At 45.5% G+C, this 22838-nt stretch overlaps 1 protein-coding gene and 1 long non-coding RNA gene across 4 annotated transcripts in view, besides 3 other annotated features; one reads left to right on the top strand and one right to left on the bottom strand.

Moving 5' to 3' along the window:
- The window catches only part of NEK2 (NIMA related kinase 2), a 17366-nt gene extending 14665 nt beyond the window's left edge, over window positions 1-2701 (bottom strand). For all 3 annotated transcript variants that reach the window (NM_001204182.2, NM_002497.4, NM_001204183.2), the window contains exons 1-3: window positions 2464-2701; window positions 1376-1593; window positions 563-803 (exon numbers count right to left, since the gene is read on the bottom strand). In NM_001204182.2, the coding sequence (NP_001191111.1) occupies window positions 563-803; window positions 1376-1593; window positions 2464-2559 (555 nt within the window). In that variant the 5' untranslated portion in view covers window positions 2560-2701. The remainder of the gene's footprint in view (window positions 1-562; window positions 804-1375; window positions 1594-2463) is intronic.
- Window positions 2405-2664: an enhancer, noted in NCBI's record as "active region_2489". NCBI's record gives its function as "activates an Ori minimal core promoter by ATAC-STARR-seq in GM12878 lymphoblastoid cells {active_cell/tissue: GM12878}" and the evidence as "EXISTENCE:reporter gene assay evidence [ECO:0000049][PMID:35858748]".
- Window positions 2687-2981: an enhancer, noted in NCBI's record as "tiled region #55; K562 Activating DNase unmatched - State 1:Tss". NCBI's record gives its function as "activates a minimal TATA promoter and a strong SV40 promoter by Sharpr-MPRA in K562 cells {active_cell/tissue: K562}" and the evidence as "EXISTENCE:reporter gene assay evidence [ECO:0000049][PMID:27701403]".
- On the top strand, window positions 2842-14539 carry NEK2-DT (NEK2 divergent transcript). Its single transcript, NR_148994.1, has 4 exons — window positions 2842-2946; window positions 4147-4234; window positions 12646-12886; window positions 13550-14539. It is a non-coding gene; the product is annotated as an NEK2 divergent transcript (long non-coding RNA).
- Window positions 22339-22838: an enhancer, noted in NCBI's record as "H3K4me1 hESC enhancer chr1:211868601-211869100 (GRCh37/hg19 assembly coordinates)". NCBI's record gives its function as "activates a minimal SCP1, AML or CMV promoter by ChIP-STARR-seq in naive H9 embryonic stem cells {active_cell/tissue: H9 hESC(naive)}" and the evidence as "EXISTENCE:reporter gene assay evidence [ECO:0000049][PMID:30033119]".

The raw sequence follows: 22838 nt of genomic DNA on the forward strand, positions 1-22838 counted from the left end.
ACCTTAGACTAGGAATCTGTCTTCATCATACTTACATTAATGCACATAACTCATGCAGCAAACAAAAACTGATATAGACTTTATTGGTCTGGTGGTCCATGTGGAAAAATATAACAGTATTTTCAATTCTTGGCTACTAGATATTACTAAACAAACAGAAAACTCAATTTCCCTGCTTCAGAATGCTTAACATTAAAAGATGTTTTGGCTGGGCATGGTGGCTCACGCCTGTAATCCCAACACTTTGGGAGACTGAGGTGAGCAGATCGCTTGAGGTCAGGAGTTCGAGACCAGCCTGGTCAACATGATGAAACCCTGTCTCTACTAAACATACAAAAATTAGCCAGGCATAGTGACATGCACCTGTAGTCCCAGCTACTCTACTTAGGAGGCTGATGCAGGAGAATCCTTTGAACCTGGGAGGCAGAGATTGCAGTGAGCCCAGATCGCACCACTGCACTCCAGCCTGGGCAACAGAGCGAGACTCTGTCTCAAAAACAAACAAACAAGAAAACAAAAATAAAAGATGTTTTAAAAAGTAGCTAAATTCTGAAATACTTACAGGAGACATGTAATAAGGTGTGCCAACAAATGTTTTTGCAAAACTCGTGTCATGGTTTAATATTCTAGCTAGCCCAAAGTCTCCAAGCTTGACGTTTTGCTTGCCATCCAGGAAAACATTGGCTGGTTTCAGATCCCGATGCAATACGGTATGACCACCATCACTTCGTCTGTGGCATTCCTTCAGGGCCAGAGTCAACTGAGTCATCACTCGAAGAACAAACTCTTCATCTAAGTATTGCCTAAAACCAAAGCAGTTATACAGCATATAACTTCTAAAAAAATCATTGCCAAGATGGGATGATATAAATTATCCAGTGTACAAATAGGGAATTTATTTATTTATTTATTTATATTTTTTGAGACAGGGTCTTACTCTGTCACCCAGGCTGGAATGCAGTGGCACGATCATGGCTCACTGCAGCCTCGACCTCCCAGGCTCAAGCAATCCTCTTGCCTTAGCCTCCCAAGTAGCTTGGACTACAGGCACATGTCACTATACCTGGCTAATTTTTGTAGAAACAGGGTCCCACTATGTTGCCCAGGCTGGTCTTGAAATCCTGGGCTCAAGTGATCCTCCCGCATCGGCCTCCCAAAGTGTTGGGATTACAGGTGTGAGCCACCACACTCAGCCTATAAATTGTTATTTTGATATAAAATATGGGTGTTGATTCACCAGGAATTTTCTAAAGTACTGTGGACCTACCAAACAAATACAAATACACTCTTCCATATTACTGATCCTAAAACAAGATGCTTAAAATAAATGAAACTAGACCAATTTCAGCTTACATTTTTAAAAGATTATGCTTACCTTTCCTTGGTTCCCTTTGTAATTACACTAGCCAGATCCCCTCCTTCACAATATTCCATTACAATGTACAGTGTTGTATTGGTCCGGTCAATAATCCGATCATAGTAACGAACGATGTTTGGATGTTTCAGTTCACGAAGCAAATTCACTTCAGAAACAAGCATCTGTTTCTCAGCTTCTGTCATGGAGCCATAGTCAAGTTCTTTCCAAACTAATATCTGAAATAAGAATTTCCAAGGTATGAATGAACTCATTATGCTCAAAAACAAAGAATGAAAGTTCCAAGATTTAACAAATTACCTCCCTTTTAATTATATCCTACAATCAAGGTCATTATCTAATTTAGTTCAATGAACTTAAGGAGCTGTGAGTTTACTTCCATAATCTTCCTCCAGTTCTAAGCAGTAAATGTATGTTGTGGGGAGACAAACGGGAATGAGGCACATGAGGACTCCCCCAACCCCTACCCTCAGTTGGTTAGTGGGAAGTTGGCTAAAAGGTACTATAGTCAAAATTGGGGTGAAGGTGGTCAAAGTCCCTGCCCCATTCCACCCCAGTCGTGTTTTCCCAGGATGAGACACCTTGGTAAAGATCCCTCCATCAGCAGCCAGGCAGTTTCCTGTCCAATGTTACTTTCTGTAAAAGTTCTACCTATATACATTGGGAAATATGAATCCAATAATCCTAATAATGGATATTTTGAGGGAGTCTGACTGCAGATACAAAGCTTCGGGTTCTGGTAGTCCTGCCCCTTTCTTGTGCCTGAGAGGGCCACTCTTAGAGCTCTAAAAACAGCTCAGGAATTAGTTACCTGTCACCAATGGAAGGTCCTTAGCAAGCCAAAGCAGGAGAAAGAGAGAAATGGGGAGAGAAACGGGAAAAGATGGAAATACATATATCAAAAGAAGCGGTCTCCCATCCTTTAAGCCACCCAGGACAGGCTGTCAGATGCAGACCCAGGAAAGACGGTTTAGTCTTCCGGGCACCCATTTCCTCAGCCCTGTCGGTTCCCTTCGGTGGCGCAGGGCGCTCGCCCCGAGGCGACGAAACCTAAGCAGGGGCAGGCGCAGGGTAGGTCCCACGCTCACCTTGCCATCACTCTTCCTCCGGATCTTCTGGCAGCGGCCGTAGGAGCCTGTGCCAATGGTGTACAACACTTCATAGTCCTCAGCCCGGGAAGGCATGGCCGGCCAGTCGCCAGAGTCGCGCTGCCTCACGCAGGTTGCGCCGCCAAGTGCGGAGCTCCAGGGACCAGGAACTCCAGGGACCTGGATGGAGAAGCCCCCGAGCAGCACTGACCCGCCACCCCTGCCTTGGGCCCCGTTTAACCGTCGCGGGCCCTGATCTCGCAGTCTATTGGCAGGCGGTGGGCCGCTTCGCCTCTCTCATTGGCTAAGAAGAACACAACAATACCCTAGGCATTTTGGGAAAAGTGTCACTAGGCAACCGCGTCGGCGTCTGCTTTTAACCTGTGGGAGAACCCGGCGAGCTAAGCCAAACGGAGGGCGGGAGAGAGGAAGCGGCAGCTGGCGCCTCTCGGCAACTCTAACCCTCTGATAGAGATCGCCAAGGTAACCGAGATCTAAGGTCCTCCCCTCAGGCTTCTTTGCACACCGCTTCCACCAGATGCCTTCTGACCTTTGCACTCTGGCCCCTCACACTACCTACTCTCCCCGGCACACGCATTCCTCGCTCAGGTTCCAGTACCCTGAACCTGGGTGGGGTCACGTTGAGGATATGCTGAGAGCTGAATACAAATTAGAAATACAGACTCCCGGGTGGGCGCGGTGACTCACGCTCGCCCGTAACCCTAGCACTTTGGGAAGCCGAGGTGGGTGGGTCGCTTGAGCCCAGGAGTTCAGACCAGCCTGGGCAACAGGGCAAACCTCGTCTCTACTGAAAATACGAAAATTAGGCCGGGCGCTGTGGCTCACGCCTATAATCCTAGCACTTTGGGAGGCCGAGGCGGGCGGATTGCTCGAGGCCAAGAGTTCAAGACCAGCCTGGCCAACATGGCGAAACCCCGTCTCTACTAAAAATGAAAAAAAAAAAAAAAAAAGTAACAGAGCATGGGGTTGCAGGCCTGTAATCCCAGCTTCTTGGGAGGCTGAGGCATGAGGAATTGCTTGAACCTGGGAGGCAGAGGTTACAGTGAGCCGTGCGCCACTGCACTCCAGCCTGGGCGACAGAGTGACACCCAGTCTCCAAAAAAAAAAAAAAAAGGAGAAATACTGTCGCTCTCCTACCAAGTACTTTACACGTCTTGTCCCGTTTATGTGTGCCAAATACACAATTAACCCTATCGACAATACTTCATTGAACACAGATTCTCTTTTACGCACCCACACACCAACGTTCTCAGCTTACCCAGCCAAATGAACAGCCCCATGTTTACCAGGGAAGGAGGACTTAGAGGCCTCCATCCAGGGCTTGTTAGAGGAATATGTAAATTACCAGAAAGCTAATAATTTGGAAATGCATGAACAGGCCAGTTTTCTTTAAATATCTGTTCAGCAAAGGATTAAAAGACACCTGATTTTCTATTAATAAGAATTTAAAAGCTCTTTATGTAAAAATAAGGGACTTATTACATGCCCTGAATATAACATAAGATAATTGGAATTGCCAACCAGGAGAATTTTTAAATTAACATTCAAGGGCACTGTCTTACCTCAGGGGAATAGGACCAATTTAGGTTTCAAAAGTTATGTAAGGCACTGCAAGTGGCTGTGTTAATTAGCATCATTTTTTTATTTTTGTGCCTCTTACAGATTGGTATCCATAGAGCTTGCTGTGGTTTGAATGTATCCCCCAAAGTTCATGTGTTGGAAACTATTCTTAATGCAAAAGTGTTAAGAGGTGAGACCTTTAAATTGATTGGGTTATGAGGGCTACCCCTCACGAATGGATTAACGTAATCACAGGAGTGGGTTATCTTGAGAGTCGGTTGGTTATAAAAATGAGTTTGGCTTTCCCTTGCTGTTTCTCTTACCATGTGATGCCTTCTGCTATTTTATGACCCAGAGAAAAGGCTGCTGCCAGATGCTACCCCTTGATCTTGGACTTCCTAGCTTCCAGAACCGTGAGCCAAATAAACTATTGTTTATAAATTGTCCAGTCTGTGGCATCCTATTATAGCAACATGAAACTGTATAAGACAGAGCCCTGGCCGGGCACGGTGGCTCACACCTGTAATCCCAGCACGTTGGGAGGTCAAGGCGGGTGGATTACGAGGTCAGGAGTTCAAGATCAGCCCGGCCAACATGGTGAACCCCGTCTCTACTAAAAATACAAAAATTAGACACAATGGCAGGCACCTGTAATCCCAGCTACTCGGGAGGCTGAGGCAGAAGAATCGCTTGAACCCAGGTGGCAGAGGTTGCAGTGAGTGGAGATCACACCACTGCACTCCAGCCTAGGCGACAGAGTGAGACTCCGTCTCAAGAAAAAAAAAAAAAAAAAAATGAGCCGTTTGGTTATCCTGCCCCAAATCCAGTCCTGCACCTTCTCTCTGGCCACTTCTGCTTTTGCTCTAAACGCACACTTTCTCAGTTCCTCACCACCACCACCATCTTTGCACCTGTGATTGCATTTGTCCAGAATACTGTCCAACCCACTCCCTTATCCACTCCAGTCATGTCTGCCCAGAGGACATAACGTGTCCTTCAAGATTCAATTCCAACTTTTTCTCCTGTAATCTGAGAAGCCTCTCTGGCGTACTTGGACAGTCAATCCTCCATCTACAGTGTTCATAGACCACTTTATACATAAATCAAAACTTATCATTATTTGTTTACATGGCTCTCACAGTAGCTGAACTCCGAACTGCTTATAGCCAGCATAAGTCCTGTAATAGAGAAGGCATGCAATAAAGCTTCGTTAAATAAAAATCTGCGAAAGCCCCTTATTAATAATTATGCAAGGATTTTGAGTGGGCCCTCAAGTACTCAATTGCCAAATGCCCCAGCTCTAGGCAGAGACGAAATATCTGGAAAGGAGCCATCCCAAGAGTATGGAATGTGGCTCCTACGCACATATGCTCATTTAACAAGTATTTATTGAGCACTTGCTATGGCCCAGGTATGATAGGTATTGACATGCTGGCTTTTCATTTAAAAAAAGACAGTGGAGCCCCAAAGACAATAATAAAGAGTAGCACAGGAGGCTGGGTGTGGTGTCTCATGCCTGTAATCCCAGCCTTTTGGGAGGCCGAGGCAGGCGGATCACCTGAGGTCAGGAGTTCAAGACCAGCGTGGCCAATAAGGTGAAACCCCGCCTCTACTAAAAATACAAAAATTAGCTGGGTGTGGCCAGTATGGTGAAACCCTGCCTTTACTAAAAATACAAAAATAGCTGGGTGTGGTGGCACGTCTGTAGTCCCAGCTACTTGGGTGGCTGAGGCAGGAGAATCGCTTGAACTTGGGAGGCAGAGGTTGCAGTGAGCCAAGATTGCACTACCACACTCCAGCCTGCTCAACAGACCGAGACCCTGTCTCAAAAAAAAAAAAAAAAAAAAAAAAAAAAAAAAAGTCCGGGCACGGTGGCTCAAGCCTGTAATCCCAGCACTTTGGGAGGCCAAGGTGGGCGGATCATGAGGTCAGGAGATCGAGACCATCCTGGCTAACATGGTGAAACCCAGCCTCTACTAAAAATACAAAAAAATTAGCTGGGTGTGGTGGCAGGCGCCTGCAGTCCCAGTTACTGGGGAGGCTGAGGCAGGAGAATGGCGTGAACCCGGGAGGCGGAGCTTGCAGTGAGCCGAGATCGCGCCACTGCACTCCAGCCTGGGCGACAGAGCAAGACTCCGTCTCAAAAAAAAGAAAAAAAAAAAGGGTAGCATAGGAATCACTCACATGACAAACCCTAAAGGTTGGCCAGAGTTAGCCCGCATCATGAGTGAGGGCAGGACAGCCCAGCAGAGACCACTAGACACCAGAATAGAAAGAGACACTGGGAGATGAGAAGCATGTGGGAGTCAAACAGGGACAGGTTACAGGGAACATCCTTTCCCCTATAACTTCTTTCCTTTTTCCTTCATATTCCATCCATTCTTTAAGTCTCAGCTCATGCCCAATTTCTTCTCTGAAATTTTTCCTGATTGACTTCAACCCACTATGATCTATCTTCTAATTACTCTTAAGAGTAATCAACTGTGTTTTTACTCATTTAGAATTATACTAGGCCATATTACTAGCTTCTCATGTGCATGTATCTTCTCTGCCTTATTAAATGGAAAATTCATCCTCCAACAAGTATAAATAGAGGCTGAGTCAGGTGCCAGATGCTGAGGATACCACAGTGAATAGGACAGACATATAGTCCTGTAGGTGGAAGAGATGGATGTAACCTAAGTACACAGAGAAACTCCACTGTGACAAATTGTGGCAAGAATTAAGAAGAAAACAAACGAAGAACTGAGATGATTCCATTTAAACAGAGAAAGAAGATGAGCAACTCTATAAGAGTGGGGCCAACCCTTGAACTTCTCGATAACCACTCTCCCCACACCCATGGTCTAATTCACTGTCTTCACACTTTTCTTGCTAACTGTGCTCATGTTGTCAGTTTTCATTTAAATTTGGTGAAATCTCAAATAAGAGAGTATTTGCACTTGCATTTTCTCCCACAGGCACTCTGTACATGTCCATAGAGACACTGATTGCTATTATTATTATTTTTTGAGACAGGGTATCACTCTATGGCCCAGGCTGGAGTGCAGTGGCACGATCACAGCTCACTGCAGTCTCAACCTCCTGGGCTTAAAGCAATCCTCCCACTTCAGCCTCCTGAGTTAGCTGGGATCACCGGTGCACATCACCATGCCTAGCCAATTGTTTTAACTTTTTGTAGGGATGAGGTCTCACTAAGTTGCCTAGGCTTATCTTGAACTCCCGGGCTCAAGCCTCTCAGCCTCCCAAAATGCTGAGATTTCAGGCGTGAGCCACCACGCCTGGCCTGATTAATTTTAATTTTAATTTTCTTTTTCTTTTTTTTTTTTTTTTTTTGTGATAGAGTCTCACTCTGTCACCCAGGCTGGAGTGCAGTGGCGCCATCTCGGCTCACTGCAACCTCCGCCTCGCGAGTTCAACAGATTCTCCTGCCTCAGCCTCCCGAGTAGTTGGCACTATAGGTGCAGGCCACCATGCCTGGCTAATTTTTGTATTTTTAGTAGAGACAGGGTTTCACCATATTGACCAGGCTGGTCTCAAACTCCTGACCTCAAGTGAACCACCCGCCTCGGCCTCCCAAAGTACTGGGATTACAGGTGTGAGCCACTGCATCCGGCACCTAATTAATGTTTAAAAGAAGCTACTTGAAGATTAATGAGCATCCCAGACTTAATGTGCCAAAAATCAAGTTCCTGATCTTCATCCCAAATTTGTTCTCCTCTCCATCTTCTTAGTCTCCAGTAACTAATGTATCTGATTTTGTTGCTGTTTGTTTGATTTACTGCAGTATTCCCAGCACCTAAAATGTGCCTGGAACAAAGCAGGAACCCAGCACTTGTACATCAAATGAATGGATGAATGAACAAAGCCATATTTCATTGCCCTCAGCTTCGTTTTTTTATGTTGCATTAAAGACCCACTAGAGGGCTGTACATCACTGCATAATAAACGAGGAGCTGGCGCCTGCGCGGCAGCACTACTCCGCCTGTCCCTACAGGAAATCCCCAGATTTGCATGTGTAGAATTTAAAATCAGACAAGACATTTGTGTATAAGTCTTATCTCCACAATTACTTGAAGCAATTTGAAGTCAGGGATTATGGCAATTCTTTCGAGTGATTAAAAAAGATTTCTAGAAAGAAAAAAGGAGAGATTCTTTGTTTATAACAATCAGAAGCTAAGAGATGCTTTTAAAAAAAAGATGCATGACATACTATATGCTCAACAAATAACCACGTTCTAGAACAAAGAATGAGGTGTTAGGCAGACTGTTCTTAACAGCCACATACCACGTGAGATAAACAGGACAAGATGTAGACTGAGAGACAGCTTCAGCTAAATGGCAGGCAGCTGGAGGATATGATGAGAAGAAAGTTATCTTTGAAACCAAACAGTGTTTAGTTAAGAGCTCCATCACATTTTAAAAGGCAATAGTTTTGAATTTATACCCAAGGGTACAAATTAGGGAAAAACATTTCTTTTCAATATAAGGATAAACTTTCAGACAAAGACAGACATTCATAATTTTCCATGTTTTTTCCTGTTACTTGTAAATTCAGGATATTTGTTATCTCTAAGAATATTCATCACCTAAATGTGATAAGACAAATGTTAAAACTAATTATGGACGGTGAGGCCTGCTAGAGTCTGAATGCTTGTGACCTCCCTAAATTCGTATGTTGAAACCTAACCCCCAAGGTAATGGTATTAAGAGGTGGAGCCTCTGGGGGAGTGATTAGTGCCCTTATATTAATACAAAAGGCCCCAGGGAGTTTGTTTGCCATGTGTTTGCCCTACCATGATGTGAGGACACATAGAGCATGCCATCTATGAGAAACGGGCTCTCATCAGACACTGAATCTGCTGGCACGTTGACCTTGGACTTTCCAGCCTCCAGAACTGCAAGCGATAAGTTTCTGTTATTCATAAATTACCCAGTCTAAAGTATTTTATTATAGCAGCCTGAACCACCTTGCACAGGACCATAATGTGTTTCTAAGGGACTTAGGAGGTTTTAGAGGACACGCCTACCTTTTCCATCGGGGGCAGCACAGTGATGGTAGGAGCAGTGAGCTTGAGCTCCAGGTTCCCAGGCTCTTCTAGTTCTGTCTTCTTTGTGTGTTTGTTGGTTTGTTTGCTCACTCTGTCACCCAGGCTGGAGTGCAGGGGTGCCATCTTGGCTCACTGCAGCCTCCGTCTTCTGGGTTCAAGCAATCCTCCTGCTTCAGTCTCCCGAGTAGCTGGGATTACAGTTACCCGCCACCATGCCCGGCTAATTTTTGTATTTTTAGTAGAGGTGGGGTTTCACCATGTTGGCAAGACTGATCTTGAACTCCTGACCTCAGGTGATCCTCCTGCCTTGGCCTCCCAAAGTGCTAGGATTACAGGCGTGAGTCACCGTGTCTGGCCTAGTTCTGTCTTAATGAGTTATGTGACCGAGGGAATCCATTTCACCTCACTGGAACACTGGGCTGTTTAGTCATTGGTCTGACCCCGAATGACAATTTTTGTTAAGTAGCTATGTCTGCATTAGCTTTTCAACATCCCTTCTCTGGGCTCTGTAAAATGAAGTTGTTGAACCCTTCCTGCTCTAAATGTTGTGATTCCATCCCCTCTCACCAAAACTTCACTGGAACTGCTGTGTAAATCAGCTCTCTCTATGTAGTATGATAATTGCTCTGAAAGAGCTTTGCCTAAAATGCAAAGAGGAGGACCCAGATTCTGATAAAGATGGCAGGGCATGGGGGTCAGGGCAAATGTTCCTGGGGAGGTGACACTTGAATCCCATCTAAAGGAGCAGTTGGAATTAGGAGAAGGGAAACTGTGGGTAAAAGCATGGAGGCCTGCTGTGAGCTGCAGGTTGGGTTGGTGGACCAAAGGGTACCTGTGGTTCGTTACCTGTAAGACAGGTGGATGGACAGGTGAGCAGGAAGACCCAAGAGTTGAGGAAGTCTACTGAAGGTGATGGACTCACAGTGGAAGCTTTGAGCAGACGAGCACTACTAGATGTGTGCTGTAGAAAGACTTCTCTGGTAAAGAGTGAATGCAGGGCATAGGAATACAGCGTGGGAAGCTATCGCAGCAACCCTGGGGAAATGACACTGGCTAAACTGAGGCAATGGCTGTGGGAATGAAGAGGGGAGTCCAGAAATGCCTGGAAGGTGGGTTAGATGAGACATGGTGATCAACTGTACATAAGGTAAACGGAGGGAAATTCCTGGCTTGAGTGACCAGATGGATGGTAGCGTAGTTCACCACAGGAGGAAATGCTGGGGCAGGAGCAGCTTGGGTAAAGCTGATACTGAGTTCATGTTGAGCCCCAAAGGCCTATGAGGAGCTAGCTGGCCAACACGCAGTTGGATACAAGGTCTCAACAGATTGGTCTAGGCCAGAGACAGAGAGCTGGGAGGTGATAACAGAAGCCACGTTTGAAGATGAATATGCCCCAAGAGTGGCAGAGCAGGAAGGGAGAAAGGAAGGAACCCTGGAGGTTATTCTGTGCAAGCAGAGGAAGAAAACTCAGTGAAGGAGACCAAGGGAAGCATCCAGGGGAGTAGGAGAGAATATGGAAAAAATTGTCACACAGGTTCCCATAGAAGAAATGGTTTCCAGAATGCAGAAGTGGTCCATGATGCCAGATGTTGCAGAAAGAGCAAATAAGGTAAGGGCAGAGTTGTAAACACTCGTTTGGTCATTTGGAGAGTATAGCAACCTCCCTAAGAGCATTTGCAAGTTGAGTGGGGCTGAAGCCAGCCAGCAGAAGTTACAGTGGGACAAGATAGTGAGGGGGGTTGATAGAGTGTGTGTGGACAGCCTGGTCAGCCTTCCAGAGCAGCTGTGGGACCTGCCCTCCTGCCTGTTTGCACCTTGTTCCTGTGCCCCAGGAGAAAAAGAATCCTGCCCAGGAGGCCTCCCACCCCGACATAGGAGGGCACCACCCACATGGCATCAGCCTGCAGCTGATTTCATATTCCATGCTCATGACATAGTACCTTATAGGACATGTCACAACTCACGCCTTCCCCTTATCCGCCATCGGTGAGTTCCCCAAGCAAGCTGTGCCACCATGAAAGTGGTGATCACACCAATCTGAATGCAACCCAGCCCAGACCTTGGGAAGGGCTAAGGGAGTGGGGAAAAGGCGACAGGTGGCTGAGCATCTGCTTAGTGTGAGGAGGGTTCAGAAGGAAGTCAGTGATACAGGGCAGGCAAGGTCGAAAGTGGAGCGTAGCCTGCTGGGTTCCTGGCTTTGCCCAGGAAAGAATTCAAGGGCAAGCCAGAGGTAGAAGAAAGCTTTATTGAAGAAGCAGTGTTACAACTCCATGACTGCTCCTGCGGAGGAGGGCTAACTTAGGCAGGGAGTAGCGGCTCAGGGCAGTTTTGCAGTCATATTTATGCCCACTTTTAACTGCATGCAGATTAAGGGGCAGTTTATGCAGAGATTTCTAGGGGAGGGGTAGGCACTTTTGGGTCATTGGGTCATTACCATGGAAAGGGGTGGTAATGCCCAGGTGTTGCCATGGCTACAGTAAATTGACATGTCTCAGTGGTGGGCATGTCTGATTCAAAGCTGCTTTCACCCCGGCTCTGTTTTAGCTAGTCCTCAATCTAGTCTGGTGTCCAAGCCCCACCTCTGGAGTCGAGTCCCACCTCCTACCTCAAGACAAGAAACTTTTGTTTTGACTTTCAGGGGATAGAACAGAAAGACATAAGCACCGGCATGGGCCTATTCCACAGCCAAGGCAGGCAATGAGCTCTCAGGTACTTGCAACAAACTCGAGTGTGCATTCGGTCCAGGAGGAAGAGCCCGCACCCTTTTTTGTTGCTGTTCAGTGTTAATCCTTCGGTGGAACCCACCAGGACAGCAGTCTCAGTGCTGTTGTTTTTGACAGGGAGAACATCCCAGGGCAGAAAGGAAAGCCTAAAGCTACAGCCTGTTCCTCTAGTTCTTAGAACAGCTGGTTACTGAGCTCTCAGGCCAGACACTGGGTAAGCATCATCTTATTCTGTTTCACAACAGCCCATAGGAATTTACCAATGAGAAACTTGAGGCACAAAGACCTTAAGTATTTGACTCAGGGTGGTGAGTGGCAGATAAAAACTGAAGACCAGCTGGGATCTACTCGAGATTCAAGATCTTGAAAGCTAGCTTATGTGGCTTACCTAGTTTAAGATGTTGGCCAGGCGCAGTGGCTCACACCTGTAATCCTGGTACTTTGGGAGGCTGAGGGGGGCAGATCACAAGGTCAGGAGTTCAAGACCAGCCTGACCAATATGGTGAAACCCCGTCTGTACTAAAAATACAAAAATTAGCCAGGTGTGGTGGTGGGCACCTGTAGTCCCAGCTACTCGGGAGGCTTAGGCAGGAGAATCGCTTGAACCCAGAGGGCAGAGGTTGCAGTGAGCCAAGATTGCACCACTGCACTCCAGCCTGGGCGACAGAGCGAGACTCCGTCTCAAACAACAACAACAACAACAAAGATGCAGGGGATTTTTAAAAAAACAACAGCAAAAACCCAATTTCCAGTTTAGGTTCTGTTGTGATAGCTGTGCTGTGAGGCCTGGCATCTAGCCTCTGACCAGACTTCACCATCCTTGCCAGATCCCGGAGAGCTTGTCCACTGCAACAGTGCAACACGCTAAGGGCTGTGTGGCGGCACAGGGGCTCTGAGCTCCTGACCTGAGTCATGGGGACCTGAAGGCTGACACCCAGCCCTATACCTACAAGCTGGGTGAGACCCCTGGCAGTTGCCTACACCCCTGCTGAGACCCAGTACCTCCCTGTAAAATGGGGGAAATAATGCCTGCCTCACAGGGTTTCGATGAAGGGTGAGTGAAATAAGGTATGTAGTGTCTGACGTGCTTAGATGCCCCAGACGCAATAGCTACTATGGTTTTTAGTATAATTATTTTGGGGGAGGAATGAAGTCATAGAGGAAACCTAACACCCCAAGCTTTCTGCTGACTGTTGAGGCACCGTAATGGGCATTTTACACAACCTCCAGCAGGGCCGCCCAGCCAGCGTTTCTGAGGGTGCACGCTTCCCCAGCTGGCCTGGCTCTGTCACGTGGCTTCTGCTCTGCCTGTCCCCATGTGGCATCCTGCCCCAGGAAGGTCCTCAAACCTGCATTTAGGGGCATTTGAGTGTATAGCTGTCCTGTCAGCCCAAGACAAGGGGAGCGAGGCCAAGGCATGAGCCTTCTCAGGGTGGTTTTCAGTACCCCCCCCAGCCAAGAAGCAGATGTGAGCTGCTCCCAAGTGCCCGCACTCTCCTGCTGCTGCTCCTGTCTTCTCTCTCCCTCTCTCTCTCTCTCTCTTCTTTCTCGTCCCCCTTCAGCTACCCATTTAGGGCAGAGAGGCAGTAGAGGGGCAGCTGAGGAGAGGACAGGCCTTGGTCCCTGGCTCTCGAGACCTAATTTCTTCCCCAGTACGCCACAAGTTCCAGAACTGGCCTCACTCAGATCTGAGACACGATGCAGAGACCTCTCTCTCCTCTTCTTTTTCAGGAAACATTTGGAAACCCCTTGGAGGAGATCTGCCACATGGCCTCCAGTGAACTGTAGACTCCTGCATAGCCTTCCAAAGTTCTTCATTTGGTGAATATTATGAGAAATGACACGTATGACTTTCTCCCAAATACGTGGCTTAAACCCAAAGTACAGTGAAATCAGAACTGACCACACAGAGTAATTGGGGCAAGGGAGTTATTTGTGACACAAAGCCCTCATCACTTTATAAAAGTACTTGCTACTGATTACATTGAAAACCAGTCTTCCTGAGTAAAACATGTTTTTTGTTTTGTATCGTTTTTGTTTTTGTTTTTTTGAGACAGAGTCTCACTCTTTGACCCAGGCTGGAGTGCAGTGGTGCGAACTTGGCTCTCCGCAACCTCTGCCTTCTGGGTTCAAGCGATTCTCTTGCCTCAGCCTCCTGAGTAGCTGGGATTACAGGTGCCCGTCACCACGCCAGGCTAATTTTTTTGTATTTTTAGTAGAGGCGAGGTTTTGCCATGTTGGCCAGGTTGATCTTGAACTCCTGACCTCAGATGATCCACATGCCTGGGCCTCCCAAAGTGCTGGGGTTAGAGGCATTAAGGGAGGAGACCACCCCTCATATTGTCTTATGCCCAATTTCTGCCTCCAAAGAAAGAAAAAGTAAAAACTGAAAGGCAGAAATGAAATCCACAAGCAGACAGCCCGGTGCCACACCCTGGGCAGATCGACCCCTGACCTAATCGGTTATGTTATCGATTACAGACATTGGATAGAAAAGCACTGTGAAAATCCCTATCCTGTTTTGTTCAGATCGAATTACCGGTGCATGCAGCCCCCAGACACGTACCCTCTGCTTGCTCAATCGATCACGACCCTCTCACACGCACCCCCTTAGAGTTGTGAGCCCTTAAAAGGGACAGGAATTGCTCACTCGGGGAGCTTGGCTCTTGAGACAGGAGTCTTGCCAATGCCCCCAGCCGAATAAACCCCTTCCTTCTTTAACTCGGAGTCTGAGGAGTTTTGTCTGCAGCTCATCCTGCTACATTTCTTGGTTCCCTGACCAGGAAGCGAGGTGACTGGCACATGGTCGAGGCAGCTGCTTAGGCAGCTTAAGCATGCCCTGTGAAACATCCCTGTGGGGGACTCCGACCAGCCCAGGCAACGCGGATCCTGAGAACGCTCCCGGGTAGGCATCTGCCCCTGTGGGATGCCTCACCAGAGCAGTGTGTGGCAGGCCCCCGTGGAGGACCAACACAGTGGCTGAACACCGGGAAGGAACAGGATCTTGGAGTCTGGACATCTAAAACTTGGTAAGACTAGTCTCGAGAACTTGCCCACTCCATTTGAGTGGAAGCGTGGCCTGATCACCCATGACATGCATTTATCAGCACTTTGGTTTTGGTTTTGGTTTTGGTTTTGACTTGGTTTGAATTGCTTGACAGGACAGGTATTGGAAACTTGCCCACTCCATTTGAGTGGACGCGTGGCCTGATCACCCATGGTGTGCCTGTACCGGCACTTCGGTTTTTGTTTTTGACTTGACTTGGATTCCTTGATACTTTGGTTTTGGTTTTGACCTGTCTTGGATTTCTGGACACTCTGATTTTGGTTTTGATTTTGGTTTGATGCAAACTGCAAAAGTGTGTGTGTGCCCTTTTTACCTGTTCTTTGTTTTGTGGTGTGCTTGTGGTGTGAGCATGGTGTTTTGTCTCAAGGAAGCATAGGTCAGGCACAAATAAGCCCACCCTACTAGGAACTACGGTGAAAAATTTCAAAAAAGAGTTTAAGGGAGACTATGGAGTACGGTGACACCAGGAAAACTTAAAACTTTCTGTAAGACAGACTGGCCAGCATTAGAGGTAGGTTGGCCATTAGAAGGGAGCCCGGACAGGTCCCTTGTTTCAAAGCTATGGCACAAGGTAACCTGTAAGCCAGGGAACCCAGACCAGTTCCCGTACATAGACACTTGGTTACAGCTGGTTTTAGACCCCCCGCCCCTAACACAGAGTGGTGGAGAGAACAGCAGAATAAGCGCCTGGCAGAGGCAAGGAAAGACCAACAGAGAGAGAGAAAGGAAAGAGACAGACAGGAAAAGAGGCAAAGAGAGAGAGGAAGAGACAGAGAGGAAGAGAAAAAAAAAGAGAGAGTCAAGGAGAGAGAGAGAGAGAAAGAGAGAGGCAGAGAGAGAGGAAGAGACAGGCAAAAGGAAAGTCAGAGAGAGACAAAGTCAAAGAGAGAAAGAAAGAAAGAGATATACAAGTAGTTAAGAAAAAAAAAGTGTACCCTATTCCTTTAAAAGCCAATGCAAATTTAAAACCTATAATTGATAATTGAAGATATTCTCCATAACCCTATAACACTCCAATACCACTTTGTTGTCAGTGTAAACAAGGGCATATCCCGAAAGCACTGAGGGCTTCCTATCAAAAATCCTTAACCCGGTAACCCGCAGATGGACCAAATGCATTCAATCTGTAGCAGCAACTGCTTTGCTAACAAAAAAAAAAAAGTAAAAAAAATAACTTTTAGAGGAAACCTCATTGTGAGCACACCTCACCAGTTCAGAAGTATCCTAAGGAAAAAAAAAGGGAAAAAAAGGGGGGGCAGAATTTATATAAAAAGAGTATTATATGGTAAATTCTTGTCCTGAAATAAATTAACTGGTTGTTTAAAGAAAGAAATATTTGTAATAAGTCAGAAAGTTGAGGCATGTCGAAGAATTGTCTGCAAAAGTCATGAAAGAGAAAAATGTTATAAAAAAGAATTTATGCAAATAATGTTGTATAATTTAAAAGTAACTAGGCCTCCTGAATGTAAAACTATTTTAAAAAAACAGTTTATGTGCAAGGTGTATCAGAAAAGTAAAATATACCTTTAGTAAAAGGATTATAAGGAGGCATAAGAATGCACATTTTTACCTACATTAAAAAGTTTTTAAAAAATTATTGTTTTGAAGATTTAAGCAAGTTTTAAAACGTTAATTGTAAAGAAAATTCTGTGTGTAAACATATTAGCTAAAGTTAAAGAAGTATCATCCAGTTTTTCTGTGAACTGGACATTAAAGTAAAAGCATAACAGGTTTTTCTTAAAGCACCAACCTGCTCTTTCACAAAAATTATAAAAGGTTAAAAAGAGTCTATAAAATCTTACCTTATGGTCAAACATTAAAAATTAGATAAATATGTCTACAAGGTTTTATTAAAATTAGGTTTAACATTACTAACACACTAATATAAAGATAAAATTTAGCTTATCTGGTATAAAAATCATATGAGAAGCATTGTTAAATGTAAAATGGTATTTGGCTTTCTTTGTTTTAAAAACTAATAAAAATAGATGCTAAAGGAAATTTCTCAGTTAAAAGGCACTAAGGACTATAAAGTCCACTGCCAAGGTCCCCACATATAAAACAAAAGGTCAGTTTCTTAAAAATTATATACTTGGTTTATCTTCCACTTTCCTTTCTCTCAAAAACTAAAAGTCTTTTAGCACATGTACCACCCCTAGAATTTCTGGTAAACCAGCACCAGCCTGAAGATCACGTTCTCATCAAACGGTGGAAAGAAGAAAAACTCGAGCCAACCTAGGAAGGACCCCACCTTGTGCTGCTAACCACCAAGACTGCTGTTTGTACAGAAAAAAAAAAAAAAAAAAAAAAAAAGGATGGACTCATCACACCCGAGTCAAGAAAGTGCCACCTCCTCCAGAGTCATGGGCCATAGTCCCAGGGGAAAACCCTACCAAACAAAAGCTAAGAAAAATTTAACTCTTTTCCTCTATTCTATTACTCTTTCTTCTTTCCTCGTTCTATTGCTGACCATCTAGTTATTAACATAACCAAGTCAATTTCGCCTCAAACTATTGCATTTAATGCTTGCCTTGTTATACCCTGTGGGGACTTGCCAAGTCAAAGACAGCTTTCTTCTTCAGAAAAGTACTTCTGTCCCTCCTGACTCTCCTCAGACTGGGAATTAGTAAACTGAACCATTTAATCCCGGGAGATTTCGATAAAGACCCCAGTGCCAACCAGGAGTCTTGCCCCCTGATGTGCAGCTTGCATGTCATAGTTGGACCAACGTTCTGTGGACCACTACAGAACAAGGATGGACTGCCCCAACCGGTTTTTGTAATTTCCTAAAACCATACATTCATTTTACTAGAGGATCATAGCAGTTAAAGACTTAAAACAAACTTTAGCAATTAAGACGGGATACCAAGATGCAACTGCCTGGTTAAAATGGATCAAATATTCCATCTGCATGTTAAACAAAAGCAATTGTTATGCTTGCGCACATGGCAGGCCAGAGACCCAGACTGTCCCCTTTCCACTAAGGTGGTCCTCCGTCGACCAGGTGTGGGCTGCATGGTAGCTCTTTTCCAGGATTCTACAGCATGGAATAATAAGTCATGCCAAGCTCTCTCTGCTATATCCCAAAGTCAGGCACCCTGCAGGTCAGCCCCCAAGGGCCATCCAGCTTCCGTCCCCCAACACTAAGTTCACTTCGTGTTTCTCACGACAGGGAGGAAACAGCATTCCTTGGAGACCTAAAGGGATGCAGTGAGCTTAAGAATTTTCAAGAGCTTATCAATCAGTCAGCCCTTGTTCATCCCCGAGTGGATGTGTGGTGGTATTGTGGTGGACCTTTACTGGGCACTCTGCCGAATAACTGGAGGGGCACTTGTACTTTAGTCCAGTTGACTATCCCTTTCACCCTGGCATTTCATCAACCAGAAGGAAAAAAAATAAGACATCATAAAGTGAGAGAAGCCTCCTATGGGTCTTTCGACTCTCATATCTATTTAGACACAATTGGAGTCTCACGAGGAACAGCAGATCAATTTAAAGCTTGAAATCAAATAGCTGCAGGATTTGAGTCAATATTTTAGTAGGTGACAGTTAATAAAAATGTAGATTATATAAACTACATCTATTACAACCAACAGCAATGAGCTTTTCATGAGTTAAAAAAAACTCATGTCAGCCCCAGCCCTGGGGCTACCTGACCTGACAAAACTCTTTGAACTCTATGTGTCAGAGAAAAAATGGCAGTTGGAGTTTTAACCCAGACTATGGGGCCCTGGCCAAGGCCAGTGGCCTATCTCTCAAAACAACTAGACAGGGTTTCCAGAGTCCAGCCCCCAGATCTAAGGGCCTTAGCAGCAACAGCCCTGTTAGCACAAGAAGCAGATAAACTAACCCTTAGGCAAAACCTGAATATAAAGGCCCCCTTGCTGTGGTAACTTTAATGACTACCAAAGGACATCATTGGTTAACAAATACTAGATTAACCAAGTATCAAAGCTTAAAATCCCCACATAACCATTGAAGTTTGCAACACCCTAAATCCCACCACCTTGCTCCCGGTATCAGAGAGCCCAGTTGAACATAACTGTGTAGAAGCGTTAGACTCAGTTAGACTCTAGCAGGACCAACCTCTGAGACCATCCTTAAACATCAGTAGACTGTGAGCGGTACGTGGACGGGAGCAGCTTCGCCAACCCCTGCAAAGTGACTCTGAAGAAGATGACAAGCCCTGCTCCAGTCACACCCGGAAGCTGACTGGTCCACGCACGGCCGAAGCATGAGAAAACTCATCACGGGACTCATTTTCCTTAAAATTTGGACTTTTACAGTAAGGACTTCAACTGACCTTCCTCAGGCTGAGGGCTGTTCCCAGTGTATGCATCAAGTCACTGAGGTAGGACAAAAGGTTGCTACGGTCCTATTATTTTATGGTTATTATAAGTGTACTGGAACTCTAAAAAGAACTTGTTGGTATAATGTTATTCTATACAAGGTATGTAGCCCAGGAAATGACAAACCTGATGTGTGTTATGACCCATCTGAGTCTCCCATGACCACAGTTTTTAAAATAAGATTAAAGACTGAGGACTGGTGGGGGCTTATAAACAATACGAGCAACGTGTTAGCCAAAACAGAAGAAAAAGGGGTGCCCAAAGAAGTCACCTTAAAATTTGATGCCTGTGCTGTCTTTAATAGTAATGTTAGAAATAAGGTGTGGTTCTCTTAATTAGAAAAGAGGCTATATGGCAGAAAATAAGTACATCTGTCATAAATTAGGACTGTGTAGAAATAAATGTAAATACTGGTCTTGTGTCATTTAGGCCACTTGGATTTAAAAAAAATGAAAAGGATCCAGTCCACCTTCAGAAAGGAAAAAATGGCCCTTCCTGTACTAAAGGGCAATGTAACCCCTTAGAGCTAGTAATAACCAATCCCCTTGATACTCGCTGGAAAAAAGACGAGCATGTGACCTTAGGAATCGACGGGGCCGGACTGCATCCTTGAGTAAATATCTTGGTTCGAGGAGAAGTTTACAAACGCTCTCCTGAGCCAGTGTTTCAACCTTTCTATGATGAACTAAATGTGCCAGTACCAGAAATTCCAGGAAAAACAAGAAATTTGTTTTTGCAATTAGCCGAGCATGTAGCCCAGTCTCTCAATGTCACTTCATGTTATGTATGTGGAGGAACTGTAATAGGAGATCAATGGCCATAGGAAGCCCAAGAATTAGTACCTACAGACACAGTTCCTGATGAATTCCCGGCTCAAAAGAATCACCCTGATAATTTCTAGGTCCTAAAAGGCTCAATTATTGGACAATATTGCATAGCTAAAGAAGGAAAAGAATTCACTCACCCTGTCAGATGACTTAGTTGTCTGAGACAGAAACTGTATAATGGTACCACAAAAACAGTCACTTGGTGGAGTTCAAATCACACAGAAAGAAATCCATTTAGTAAATTCCCAAAGTTGCAAACCGTGTGGACCTACCCAGAGTCACACCAGGACTGGACAGCCCCCACTGGATTATACTGGATATGTGGGCAAACAGCTTATGCCAGATTACCTGGCCAGTAGGCAGGTAGTTGTGTTATTAGCACTATTAAACCATCTTTCTTCCTACTGCCCACAAAAACAGGCGAACTCCTGGGCTTCCCTGTCTATGCTTCCCGCGAAAAGAGAAGCATAGCTATAGGAAATTGAAAAAATGATAAATGGCCCCCTGAGAGAATCATACAATATTATAGGCCTGCTACTTAGGCACAAGACAGCTCGTGAGGATACCGGACCCCCATTTACATGATCAACCGAATCATACGGTTACAAGCTGTCTTAAAAATAATCACTAGTAAAACCAGCAGAGCCTTGACTATTCTGGCCTGGCAAGAAACTCAGATGAGAAATGCTATCTATCAAAATAGATCAGCTCTCGACTACAGCTGAAGGAGAGGTCTGCAGGAAATTTAACCTTACTAATTGCTGCCTACACATAGATAATCAAGGGTAAGTAGTTGAAGACATAGTTAGAGATATGACAAAACTGGCACATGTGCCCGTACAAGTGTGGCATAGATTTGATCCTGGGGCCATGTTTGGAAAATGGTTCCCAGCACTAAGAGGATTTAAAACTCTTATAATAAGAGTTATAATAGTAATAGGAACCTGCTTACTGCTCCCTTGTTTGCTACCTGTACTTCTTCAAATGATAAAAAGCTTCATCACTACCTTAGTTCACCAAAATGCTTCAGCACAATGTACTATGTGAATCACTATCGATCTGTCTTGCAAGAAGACATGGGAAGTAAAAATGAAAGTGAGAACTCCCACTATTGAGTGAGATTCTCAAAGGGGGGGAATAAGGGAGGAGACCACCGCTCATATTGTCTTATGCCCAATTTCTGCCTCCAAAGAAAGAAAAAGTAAAAACTAAAAGACAGAAATGAAATCCACAAGCAGGCAGCCCGGCGCCACACCCTGGGCCTGGTAGTTAAAAATCGACCCCTGACCTAATTGGTTATGTTATCTATAGATTACAGACATTGGATAGAAAAGCACTGTGAAAATCCCTATCCTGTTTTGTTCCGATGTAATTACCGGTGCATGCAGCCCCCAGACACGTACCCCCCACTTGCTCAATCAATCATGCCCCTCTCATGTGCACCCCCTTAGAGTTGTGAGCCCTTAAAAGGGACAGAAATTGCTCACTCGGGGAGCTCGGCTCTTGAGACAGGAGTCTTGCCAATGCCCCCGGCCGAATAAACCCCTTCCTTCTTTAATTCAGAGTTTGAGGACTTTTGTCTGCGGCTCATCCTGCTACAGCATAAGCCGCCAAGCCCGACCATAAAACATGTTTTAAATTAGAAGATGTTCTTTGCACTTTTGTTTTTCTGGAGGAATGTCATGGTACACAGAGTGAAGACCTAACTTAAGGAGGCCTTGGAGCCTGTCAAGCATACAATGATTCAGGTCTGTACCGGGCTGTGGCACTGCCTTCACTCCCCTCCACCCTGGGCAGAGGCAGAGGGCAGGAGAATCTGGTGAGCTGAGGCCACATGTCCACCTGGTGTGGCTGGTGTGGTCCACACAGCTGGAATGATAAAAGCACCGCACTCATCCGTGCCAGGCCCGGTGCTACTCATGCTTCTCCTTCACTCTTCACCACATTCCCAGGACTGAAGCATTGGTTTATTCCCATTTTCCAAAAAAGGAAACTGAGGCTCATAGTGTTTAAGCCTCAAGCCTCAGGCCACCATGAATACTTCTCATCTGCAAAAGAGAACACCCAAATGTGCCCACCCACCCTACAGATTCTTGGAGGTCTGGCTCACTTATCTCCAAGAAAGCCCCCTCTGGACCATCCAGAAGCCACGAGATGGTAACAGTGCTTCCTCTGCAGGGGCTCTGATCGACCTTGGGTCTGCAAGGGGTAGCAGTCAGGGGTCACCTGAGCCTAGCTCAGTGGGTGTGCTCCTCACACTGCATGACCGCATGCTGTGGGTGGGCCTGTGCACATGTGTGTTTGTGCACACAGAGGAAACGAGTGTAGGCGGGGATCAAGGTCATTTTTACAAACAGAAAAGCTGCAGCATCTCCATAACTCAGCTTGTGGGCTAGACAGTCACCACAGAAAAAAGGAAGCCAGACCAAAACTGAACCACTGGACTACTGCAAGCCCGCCCCAGCAGGGAGCCAGTGCAGGACCCCTGTGAGAAATGGGAACTCTGTACTATCTTTATAGCTTTTCTATAAATCTAAAACTCTTCAAAAATAAAGCATTTATTAACAACAATGACAACAAAAGCATTGACTAAGCTCTGTGAACTGAGAATTTTGTTCTTTACCAAATGGGGATTTCTAACACATCTTTTCAAGTGGTTTGGCAGCATCTTGGAGCTTCCCATTGCTAACAGCGTGCTAATGACAACTGCCCTTAAAGGAGGCCTCCTGCAGAGCGCCCGCTGCCCCCGTGACCCTCCTCCAGCTGTCTGTGAGATA

This window comes from Homo sapiens, chromosome 1 (assembly GCF_000001405.40).
Source record: "Homo sapiens chromosome 1, GRCh38.p14 Primary Assembly".
Lineage (NCBI taxonomy): Eukaryota > Metazoa > Chordata > Mammalia > Primates > Hominidae > Homo > Homo sapiens.